Source organism: Homo sapiens, chromosome 6, assembly GCF_000001405.40.
Source record: "Homo sapiens chromosome 6, GRCh38.p14 Primary Assembly".
Taxonomy (NCBI): domain Eukaryota; kingdom Metazoa; phylum Chordata; class Mammalia; order Primates; family Hominidae; genus Homo; species Homo sapiens.
In genome coordinates, this window is record NC_000006.12 from 109,100,974 (window position 1) to 109,113,364 (window position 12,391).

General features: G+C 36.5%; 1 protein-coding gene across 20 annotated transcripts in view, besides 1 other annotated feature; it reads left to right on the plus strand.

The window, feature by feature from the left end:
• Positions 1-12,391, plus strand: part of CEP57L1 (centrosomal protein 57 like 1) — a 79,256-nt gene that overhangs the window by 5,811 nt on the left and 61,054 nt on the right. For 3 of the 20 annotated variants that reach the window (NR_146888.2, NM_001083535.3, NM_001350655.2), the window contains one exon: positions 5,062-5,117. The exons of the other annotated variants lie outside the window; for them this stretch is intronic. The gene's annotated coding sequence lies outside the window, so the exon portion shown is untranslated. The remainder of the gene's footprint in view (positions 1-5,061; positions 5,118-12,391) is intronic. 20 annotated transcript variants of the gene reach the window in all.
• Positions 485-876: a silencer, noted in NCBI's record as "fragment chr6:109422661-109423052 (GRCh37/hg19 assembly coordinates)". NCBI's record gives its function as "represses an EF-1alpha promoter that drives an FKBP-Casp9 reporter gene in an ReSE screen in phorbol 12-myristate 13-acetate-treated (for megakaryocytic differentiation) K562 erythroleukemia cells {active_cell/tissue: K562(+PMA)}" and the evidence as "EXISTENCE:reporter gene assay evidence [ECO:0000049][PMID:32094911]".

Here is a 12,391-nt window from a genome sequence, read left to right on the forward strand (position 1 = left end):
GCACACGCCTCTAGTCCCAACTACTCAGGAGGCTGAGGCAGGAGAATCGCCTGAGCCTGGGAGGCAGAGGTTGCAGTGAGCCAAGATCGCACCACTGCACTCCAGTCTGGGCGACAGAGTATGACTCTGTCTTAGGAAAAAAACAAAACAAAACAGTCTGCCTTTTTTGCTGCAACATATCAATAGATGTTATGGAATTTAGAAGAACTTCTTTAGATCAGTAAATTTTCACAGTTACATTTTAGAAGAGTAATTAATTAGGGAACAGATATTGAGAGGTTTTGCTAACTTTGGTCATGGACCATGGAATCATGCAGTATGTTGCCTTTTAGACTGGCTCCTTTACTTAGCAATGTGCATTTATAGTTATTTTATGTCTTTATATGTATGGCTTGGGAGCTCATTTGTTTTTATCACTGAAAAATAATCCATTGTATGGATATATCACAGTTTGCTTATTCACCTTTTGAAGGACATCTTAGTTGCTTCCAGTTTTTATCAATTATGAATAAAGTGTCCTAAAAATTTATGTGCAGGCTTTTTCTGGGCAAAAAATTTTTAACTCATCTAGGAATATGATTGCTGGATCTCAGGTAACCCTATGTTTAGCTTTGTAAGAAACTCACAGCTGTTTTTCTTTTTCTTTTTTCTTTTTTTTTTTTTTTGAGACGGAGTCTCACTCTTTCGCACAGGCTGGACTGCAGTGGCGCCATCTCGGCTCACTGCAAACTCCGCTGCCGGGTTCACGCCATTCTCCTGCCTCAGCCTCCTGAGTAGCTGGGATTACAGGCGCCCGCCACCGCGCCCGGCTAATGTTTTGTATTTTTAGTAGAGACGGGGTTTCACCGTGTTAGCCAAGATGGTCTCGATCTCCTGATCTCGTGATCCGCCCGCCTCGGCCTCCCAAAGTGCTGGGATTATAGGCGTGAGCCACCGCGCCCAGCCATACAGCTGTTTTTCAAAGCAGCAGTACCATTTTCTATTTCCCACCAATGAATGAGAGTTCCTGTTGCGCCCCACCTTTGCCAGGATTTGGTGGTATCAGTGTTTTGGACTTTAGCTGTTCTAATAGGTATGTAATGGTATCTCATTATTGTTTTAATTGGTGATTCCCCAATGACATATGTTGAGCATCTTTTCATACGCCTATTTGCTGCCTGTGTATCATGTTTGGTGAGGTGTCTTTTCAGATCTTTTGTCCATTTTTAAATTATTATTACTGTTGAGTGTTTTTGTTTTTTAGAGGCAGGGTCTCCCTAGGTCACCCAGGTTGGAGTGCAGTGTTGCTTTCATAGATCACTGTAACCTCAAACCCCTTGGCTCAAGCAGTCCTGCCTCAGCCTCCGAAGTAGCTAGAACTACAGGCATGCACCTCCACGCTCAGCTTACTATTGAGTTTTAAGAGTGCTTTGTATATTTTGGACACACAAGTCCTATATCAGACCTGCATTTTGTAAATATTTTCTCCAAGTCTGTGGCTTGTCTGTTCATTCTTTAATAGTGTCTTTTGCAAAGCAGAAATTTTTAATTTTAGTGAAGTCCAGCTTTCATGTATCATGCTTTTCGTGTTGTAGCTAAAAAGTCATTGCCATACCCAGGGTCATGTAGATTTTCTCCTGTCTTCCAGAACTTTTACAGCTTTGTGTTTTGCATATAGGTTTATGATCCATTTTTTAGTTTTTTTTTTGTAAAAGGTATAAGGTCTGTGCCTAGATTTATGTTTTTATTAAAAAGTTTCTGCTGGATCTGAAATTATTATTTTGATCAATAATATTAAAAGGTGAAAAACTTTTTTTTAAAGACCATTATACTGAATCTGTACAACTATATTGGTGCCATTCTTCAAAACTGTTCCTTGAGAGAGAGACCTGAAGTCAGCCTAAAGATGAGGCCAGGGAGAACTTTATCTGGAATGTATCAGGAAACCGGACTAACAGTTCCATTTTAGTTATCTGTTGTCAGCATGTGCAGTTGGCTGAGTGCTGTAAGTGAAAATTGTTAGGAAGACTTTCTACAATTAAGAATATTATTCTCCAATTGAATTACCTTGTTACTTGTCTACATTGCTGGTTTTTGTTTTTGTTTTTTTGCTACTTTTTTGCCTAGTCTTACAAGGTTGCAAAAATCAACCTGTGATTTTTCCACAATAGTTTGACCCTTCTCTACAATGAAACACTGAAGCCATGTAAACTTAAAATATCTCTTTCTATGATAACTGACTTCAACTTAAGTTTTTAAAGGAAATTATACTAATTATTTACTGTATAGTAGCATAAGCAGTTTTGCCTCTAAATGCTTCCTTAGTTTTTCTTTTGGCTTGTTGAAAAATGTCTTGTCAACCAAGTACTATATGTGTACTTTTATGTGTGGGGTATATGTGTATTGCCCAAATGAATCATAAAGGCTCTTAATTTGAATCTGTATATTTTATTTTTAAGTTTTCCTTAACAAGGTCGATTTGAATTCCTTAACAAGATTGATTTGAATGATATTCTTTTCAGCCCTTCAAAAACATATTTTCTGAAACACTGTCATACATACTATTCTCAGAATACCATGCCCCTTTTTTCTATGTTATTTTGGTTCCATCTTTCAGGAATAAATGAGTAAACCACTTAAATCAAGTTTACTCTTCAGTATTTTCTCCAGTTTTTCTGTTTTTGGTGTCTCCAAATTTACTATAGTATGCTTTGAATGACTAAATCTCTAGTATTTCTGACATATATTAATGGATAGATTTTTAAAAACCAATAATTGTTGAATCTATTTTCATTTTGCTCTTCTTGAAAGATTTGTGAGCGAGCTCTAGCAATATACGCAACATACAATATGAATTTTATAAACCAGTCTCACTACTGATTTTATTCTTATTTTTCTACTTATTTTCCTTATCCACATTTTACATGAATATATACATATATAGGGGTAAGATATTAAAATTATATGTCATTTTTAAAAGCATTACATATTTCAAACAAAAAATAAGAGTAACAAAATAAATACCCTTTTAAACTACCCCTTGGAATGAACAAATGTTAACATTTTACCTAGTTTGCTTTAGTTTTTGTTTTTTTTTTTTTCAATGAAATGAAATATCACATAGGTTGTGAAAGTGCTCTTGGCACAGTCATATATTGTCTTTGTCTTTTAAAAAAATGTTACATAGAAGATATCTTACTATCTGTAACTTACTTTCTGTTTTACTCAACAATATATTTTCAGAGCTTATCTGTGTTGCTAAATGTAGATCTTGTTTTCAAATTTTAGCTGGTGTATAGTGTTTCATTGTATGAATATGATACAACTTATTTATCCAGTCCCTATTAATGTATATTTATTTAAAAAAAAAATTTTTTTCTGTTGCAATCAGTGCAGCAGTGAACATCATTATACATATGTCCAGATATGTGCCATTTTCTCTAGGGTTCACTCATAAATTCGGAGAAGTGGAATTGCTGAGTTATAGGATATACACAGGATCACATTTTTCAAGTTATGTTTTGTTTTACCAGTTTACACTCCCACTGGCAGTTCATGGGAATTTTCATTTCCCCACATCCTTGACAAAACTTAATATTGATAGGCGTGTTTTTTTGTTTGTTTTTTGTTTGTTTGTTTTGTTTTGTGAGACAGAATCCCACTCTGTTGCCCAGACCAGAGTGCAGTGGCACAATCACAGCCCACTGCAAGCCTCAACCTCCCGGGCTCAAACGATCCTCCCACCTCTGCCCTACAAGTAGCTGGGAACACATGTGTGTGCCACCACACCCAGCTAATTAAAAAATTTTTTTTTTGTAGAGACAGGGTCTCACAGTATTGCCCAGGCTGATCTTGAACTCCTGGGCTCAAGAAGTCCTCCCACCTCAGCCTCCCAAAGTGCTAGGATTACAGACATGAGCCACTGCACTGGGTCCTGATAGGCTTCTTTTAAAATTTTTTTCAATCTAATGGGTGTAAAATAATTTCTGTATTGTTTAAATTTGCATTTTCCTGATCAATGAAGTAGAACGTTTTTGTCCTTTTAGCTATTCGTGTTTTCTTGTCTTTTAACTTCCATTGTACCTTTTGTTCCTTTGTTAATTGACCTTTGTGTTTTTCTTAATAATTTATAGGATAGAACTTGTTTCTGTATTTCAGATACTAATCTTTTATGTTATATATGTTTCTTTTTTAAAGATATCATCAATGATGTTTTTTGTTATACAGACATTTTAATTTTTATATAGTTTTATCATTTTTTCTTTTTTATTTGTAAATTGTCTTGTTTTAAGAAATCTCTTCTTACCCAAAGTCTGAAACGTACTCTATATTTTCTTCTAAAACAAAGGTTTGTTGTTCACGTATAGATGTTCAGTCTAGCTAGAATTTATTTTTGTGTTTGGCATGGAGTAGAGATATATGTTTATATTTTACCGTGTGGATAGCACTGTATAGTGAATATTGGCATAGTGAATATTGAATAGCCAATCCTTTCTCCATGTAAATGCCCTCTTTTTCATATACCAAATTCCCACATATGTAAAAGTTTATTTACTCTCTTTTCTTTTGTATCAGTCCCTTTTGTCTCACCTCAGGCCTATACCACTATTTTAATGACTGAAGTACCATAATCAGTCTTAATAACTAGAAAAACAGTACCATCTTTTTGTTCTTTTTCACAGTGCCCTTACAAATTTTTATTTGCCATTATCCCTATGATTCATATAGTTTCTGATGCTATAGTGCACATGTATGTTTTGAAATTACATTTTCTAGATAGATTATCTAGATTAGGGATCCCCAACCCTCGGGCCATGGACTGGTACGGGTTCGTGGCCTGTTAAGAACGAGACCACACAGCAGGGGTGAGCAACAGGTGAACAAGTGAAGCTTCATCTGTATTTACAGCTGCTCTCCATTGCTTGCATTACCCCCAGAGCTCCGCCTCCTGTCAGATCAGCAGTAGCATTCTCACAGGATCACAAACCCTCTTGCAAACTGTGCATGTGAGAGATCTAGGTTGCACACTCCTTATGAGAATCTAAAGCCTAATGATCTGTCACTGTCTCTCATCACCCCTAGATGGGACTGTCTAGTTGCAAAAACAAGCTCAGGGATCCCACTGATTCTACTTTACGGTGAGTTGTATAATTATTTCATTATGTATCACAATGTAATAATAATAGAAATAAAGTTCACAATAAATGAAATGGGCTTGAATCATCCTGAAACCATCCCATCCCCACCCCTAACCCAGGTCCGTGGAAAAATCGTCTTTCATGAAACCTGTCCCTGGTACCAAAAAGATTGGGGACCACTGATCTAGATTATCTTGGGTTGTTCTATATAGAAAATCATATTTCCTACAGATAACAATTTTTATACTCTTATACATCTTATTTTCTTTTTCTGTTTTGTCCCTTTGTCAGGATCTCCAATTCATTATTAAATAATACTACTGATAGTGGGTATCCTTGTTGTCAGTGTTTTTAGTGTCAGATGTGGACCTTTTTCTTGAAACTCAATACTTTTCATTTATTTTAATTAGTATTCCATTTATTAAAGTTGTCATTTTTTATATGCAGTTTTCCCTAAGACTTTGAGTTTAACTTACAAGTTGTACTACATCTATTTTAAGTATAGTAGTTTTTGCAAGGAAATAAGGACTTTGGCTTTTTTAAAATTAATGTTCAAGACCAGGCATGATAGCTCATGCCTGTAATCCCAGCACTTTGGGAGGCTGAGGCTGGTGGATCACTTGAGGTCAGGAGTTCAAGATCAGCCTAAGCCAACATGGTGAAACCCCCCTGTCTCTACTAAAAATACAAAAAAAGAAAATTAGCATGGCATGATGGCACACACCTGTAATCCCAGCTACTCAGGAGGCTGAGGCGGGAAAATTTCTTGAACTCAGGAGGTAAAGGTTGCAGTGAGCTGAAATCGCACCACTTCACTCCAACTTAGGTGACAGAGTGAGACTCTATCTCAAAAAACTAACGAAATAAAATTAATGTTTGGTTAACATGTACGTATAAAAGATAAAATTCTCCTTAAATATGTAATAGTATTTACAAACAAATTTCTTATACGTTTCAAACTACAATTTTCAATTTAGTCTATCATTTTATCAGATACTTAAGCAATTATCAAAACAGACCCTCAATTCTAATAAGCAGTATCTTCCTAAGTAAGCAACTTTTGTGAACCTAATAAATTAGACTTATATTTTTAAATAAATCTGATTTTCTTAATCATTTTAAACATTTAAAAAATCCAACCATGATTCACGAATTCTGGCTTGAATTTTCTCTCTGTTTTTAGCATCTGGGCATTTCCCCTTTTTCTTTTGAGCTTGGCTATATATTTTTTTAAAGTTATGTATCATCTAATACTTTTGTGTGTAGGTTAGAGGAGAGTTTTCTCTTTCATATTAATCAGAACTTTTTATATTTTCCTTCTTATTACATATAATTTTATAAGTTGCTTAATAGTCTTTCTAAAGCCTGAAAAACATGCGTTTCAGATACCTGTTAAATAATGCAAATTATGGATTCTTTTTATTTTTAAAAATCTAGACTTAATGGTTGTCTAAATAAGAGCATTAAGGTATTCATAAGGGAATTCACAGAGAAGACAAAACTTAATTGTTACCCCAGGTTTAGAACTCAAGAATTTGGCAAAAGCTTCAGTAAAAGTTCATATTTGTGGCTGGGCATGGTGGCTCACACCTGTAATCCCAGCACTTTGGGAGGTCAAGGTAGGTGGATCACTTGAGGTCAGGAGTTCGAGACCAGCTTGGCCAACATGGTGAAACCCTGTCTCTAATAAAAATCCCAAAATTAGCTGGGCATGGTGGCGCTTGGGTGTAATCCCAGCTACTTGGGAGGCTGAGGCAGGAGAATCACTTGAACCTGGGAGACGCAGGTTGTAGTGAGACGAGATCGTGCCATTGCACTGCAGCTTGGGCGACACAGAGAGACTCTGTATCAAAAAAAAGAAAAGAAAAAATAAGTTCATGTTTGTAAGTACAACTCTCTTTTAATAGAATTTTAGAAATGTATGAAAACCTCAAAATTAAGTTATTCATTTTGTTTAATTCATAAATATATAAAGTTATGGAGAAGTTAAGCTACTAATTAGGACAAGATCCCAGAACTAGTTAGAAACTAGTGTTGTCCACACCAGTGAATCTAAATGTAATGCCCCACCAGTAAGCAGTAGTGTTCTGGAGGAGTCTCTGACACCAAAGCTTATAAGGACTACAATATTTAATGTTCTACATTTTTCTCTTTTTTTTTTTTTTTTGAGATAGAGTTTCACTCTCGTCACCCAGGGTGGAGTGCAGTGGCGCGATCTCAGCTCACTGCAACCTCTGCCTCCAGTGTTCAAGTGATTCTCCTGCCTCACCTGCCACCACGCCCTGCTAATTTTGTATTTTTAGCAGAGACAGGGTTTCACTATTTTGGCCAGGCTGGTCTCGAACTCCTGAACTCCAGTGATCCACCTGTCTCAGCCTCCCAAAGTACTGGGATTACAGGCGTGTAATCCCACCACAGCCAGCCCCATTTTTCTTATTTTGTTTGACTTAATTGCATTTTCCTACATTCCTCTGTTCAAAAAGGGGTAGATGATACCTGTGAGACCTTGTGCTGTGATTTTTTTGGCCTTTATTAATTTAGAAAATACGAGAGACAAATTCTATTTCTTGTTCCAAAATAAATTCATGCAAATTGTTTGAATTCTGTTACTCAATTTTACCATCTCATTTATGAGCCCTCCTTATTTCTTGAATTAAAAAAGGCGAAGGATTTATATGCTCTGAAGAGAAACCACAGTATTGTTTCATGAATTATATTAACAAGAAGATGTTATAGCATCTACTGAATGATTTGGCTATATCATGATTCTGTTAAGTACTTTTGAAGGTACACTAACTTCGCAATTTTTATGTGCCATTCCATCAGATATACCAGACTGATTATTTACTAAATCAAGTGAACTTAAATACACAAATGCTAGAATTCGTAACTTGTTTTTAATAGGAGAGTCTCTTTCTCTTCCTTTACTCTCCCACACTAGAAATACAAATTTCTAACAAGGATGTTGTGGACAATTTGCTCTTCGTTATTTCTATTATCAGTTGTTATTTCTTGTTATCAATTACATGTCTCATAATATCTCAATAGTAGTCTCCTGTGTAGAGCTGCTTTGATGATTATGTATATAAACATTATAGACATTACTTGAAGTCTGTTCTGTGGAATGCTAATCTCTTAAGAGTATTCACCAAAAAGGTTTCTGTTGTACATAAATTTGGAAAATGCATGCTTCATCTTCATTTTGGAAATTTACAATGATAGTAGCATATTAAAGATACTGACAAGACTTGCAGGTAAAGAAGGTTAATTTTGTTTTACCAATTTCCTGAAAGTTATTTGCCAGGAAATTCATTTAATTTAGGGAGTAATTTCAATTAACATCCTTTGAAACCAGTGTTCCATAGAGCAAGTCTTGGTAAATACTGTTTAAAAGTATGAATCTTTAGTGGGTTGTAGATCTATAACATTTAAATATTAGAATGAAAAGTATATATATATTTTTATTATACTTTAAGTTCTGGGATACATATGCAGAACGTGCAGGTTTGTTACATAGGTATACACATGCCATGTTGGTTTGCTGCACCCATCAACCCATCATCTACATTAGGTATTTCTCCTAATGCTACCCTGCCCTAGCACCAAACCCCGTGACAGGCCCGGGTGAGTGATGTTCCCCTCCCTGTGTCCAAGCGTTCTCATCGTTCAACTCCCACTTATGAGTGAGAACATGTGGTGTTTGGTTTTCTGTTCTTGCGTTAGTTTGCTGAGAATGATGGTTTCCAGCATCATCCATGTCCCTGTAAAGGACATGAACTCATTCTTTTTTATGGCTGCATAGTATTCCATGGTGTATACGTGCCACATTTTCCTTATCTAATCTGTCATTGATGGGCATTTGGGTTGGTTCCAAGTCTTTGCTATTGTGAACAGTGCCGCAGTAAACATACGTATGCATGTGTCTTTATAGTAGAATGATTTATAATCCTTTGGGTATATGCCCAGTAATGGGATCACTGGGTCAAATGGTATTTCTAGTTCTAGATCCTTGAGGAATCGCCACACTGTCTTCCACAATGGTTGAACTAATTTACACTCCCACCAACAGAGTAGAAGCGTTTTTATTTCTCCACATCCTCTCCAGCATCTGTTGTTTCCTGACTTTTTAAATGATTGCCATTCTAACTGGCATGAGATGGTATCTTATTGTGGTTTTGATTTGCATTTCTCTAATGACCAGTGATGATGAGCTTTTTTTCATATGTTTGTTGGCTGCATAAATGTCTTCTTTTGAGAAGTGTCTGTTCATATCCTTCACCCACTTTTTGACATGGTTGTTTGATTTTTTCTTGTAAATCTAAGTTCTTTGTAGATGGATAGTCAGATGGATAGACTGCAAAAATTTTCTCCCATTCTGTAGGTTGCCTGTTCACTCTGATGATAGTTTCTTTTGCTATGCAGAAGCTCTTTAGTTTAATCAGATCCAATTCGTCAATTTTTGGCTTTTGTTGCCATTGCTTTTGGTGTTTTAGTCATAAAGTCTTTGCCCATGCCAATGTCCTGAATGGTATTGCCTAGGTTTTCTTCTAGGGTTTTTATGATTTTAGGTCTTATGTTTAAGTCTTTAATCCATCTTAAGTTAATTTTTGTGTAAGGTGTAAGGGAGGGATCCAGTTTCAGCTCTCTGCATATGACTAGCCAGTTTTCCCAGCACCATTTATTAAATAGGGAATTCTTTCCCCATTGCTTGTTTTTGTCAGCTTTGTCAAAGATCAGATGGTTGTAGATGTGTGGCGTTATTTCTGAGGCCTCTGTTCTGTTCCATTGGTCTATATATCTGTTTTGGTACCAGTACCATGCTGTTTTTGTTACTGTAGCCTTGTAGTATAGTTTGAAGTCAGGTAACATGATGCCTCCAGCTTTGTTCTTTTTGCTTAGGATTGTCTTGGCTATGCGGGCTCTTTTTTGGTTCCATTTGAAATTTAAAGTAGTTTTTTCCAATTCCATGAAGAAAGTCAATGGTAGCTTGATCAGGATAGCATTAAATCTATAAATTACTTCGGGCAGTATGGCCATTTTGACGATATTGATTCTTCCTATCCATGAGCATGGAATGTTTTTCCATTTGTTTGTGTCCTCTCTTATTTCCTTGAGCAGTGGTTTGTAGTTCTCCTTGAAGAGGTCGTTTACATCCCTTGTAAGTTGTATTCCTAGGTATTTTTTTCTTTTTGTAGCAATTGTGAATGGGAGTTCACTCACGATTTGGCTCTCTGTCTGTTATTGGTTTATAAGAATACTTGTGATTTTTGTGCATTGATTTTGTATCCTGAGACTTTGCTGAAGTTGCTTATCAGCTTAAGGAGATTTTGGGCTGAGACGATGGGGTTTTCTAAATATACAATCATGTCATCTGCAAACAGAGACAATTTAACTTCCTCTTTTCCTACTTGAATACCCTTTATTTCTTTCTTTTGGCTGATTGCCCTGGCCAGAACTTCCAATACTATGTTGGATAGGAGTGATGAGAGAGGGCATCCTTGTCTTCTGCCGGTTTTCAAAGGGAATGCTTCCAGTTTTTGCCCATTCAGTATGATATTGGCTGTGGGTTTGTCATAAATAGCTCTTATTATTTTGAGATGCGTTCCATCAATACCTACTTTATTGAGAGTTTTTATCGTGAAGGGTTGTTGAATTTTGTCAAAGGCCTTTCCTGCGTCTATTGAGATAATCATGGGTTTTTTTGTCATTGGTTCTGTTTATGCGATGGATTACGTTTCTTGATTTGTGTATGTTGAACCAGCCTTGCATCACAGGGATGAAGCCAACTTGATCGTGGTGGATAAGCTTTTTCATGTGCTGCTGGATTCAGCTTGCCAGCATTTTATTGAGGATTTTCGCATCAATGTTCATCAGGGATATTGGCCTGAAATTTTCTTTTTTTGTTGTGTCTCTGCCAGGTTTTGGTATCAGGATGATCCTGGCCTCATAAATGAGTTAGGGAGGAGTCCCTCTTTTTCTATTGTTTGGAATAATTTCAGAAGGAATGGTACCAGCCCCTCTTTGTACCTCTGGTAGAATTCGGCTGTGAATCTCTCTGGTCCTGGGCTTTTTTTGGTGGGTAGGCTATTAATTGCCCCCTCAATTTCAGAACCTGTTATTGGTCTATTCCGGGATTCGACTTCTTCCTGGTTTAGTCTTGGGAGGGTGTATGTGCCCCGGAATTTATCCATGTCTTCTAGATTTTCTAGTTTATTTACGTAGAGGTGTTTATAGTATTCTGTGATGGTAGTTTGTATTTCTGTGGGATTGGTGGTGATATCCCTTTTATCATTTTTTATTGCGTCTATTTGATTCTTCTCTCTTTTCTCCTTTATTCGTGTATCTATTTTGTTGATCTTTTCAAAAAACCGGCTCCTGGATTCATTGATTTTTTTGAAGGGTTTTTGTGTCTCTATCTCCTTCAGTTCTGCTCTGATCTTATTTATTTCTTGTCTTCTGCTAGCTTTTGAATTTGTTTGCTGTGGCTTCTCTAGTTCTTTTCATTGTGATGTTAGGTGTCGAATTTTGATCTTTCCTGCTTTCTCTTGTGGGCATTTAGTGCTATACATTTCCCCCTACACATTCCTTTAAATATGTCACAGAGATTCTGGTACGTTGTGTCTTTGTTCTCATTGGTTTCAAAGAACATCTTTATTTCTGGCAGAAATATTTATTTACCCAGTAGTTATTCGGGAGCAGGTTATTCAGTTTCCATGTAGTTGTGCAGTTCTGAGTGAGTTTCTTAATCCTGAGTTCTGATTTGATTGCACTGTGGTCTGAGAGACTGTTTGTTATGATTTGTGTTCTTTTGCATTTGCTGAGGAGTGTTTTACTTCCAATTATGTGGTCAATTTTAGAATAAGTGTGATGTGGTGCTGAGAGGAATGTATATTCTGTTGATTTGGGGTGGAGAGTTCTGTAGATGTCTCTTAGGTCCGCTTGGTCCAGAACTGAGTTCAAGTCCTGAATATCCTTGTTAATTGTCTATCCCGTTGATCTGTCTAACATGAAGGTGGGGTGTTAAAGTCTCCCACTGTTATTGTGTGGGAGTCTAAGTCTCTTTGTAGGTCTCTAAGAACTTGCTTTATGAATCTGGGTGCTGCTGTATTGGGGGCATATATATTTAGGTATCTTTATTTCTTTAAGCCAATTTATCTTCATAATTTTCTTTGTAACATGGATCGTCCCCTCTTCCCCTAACTTTTCCCCTCTTCCGGAGAAAAGCCCATGTCCTCCTCAGATCAAAATTTTTGTGTTCATTTACTCGTTTACCT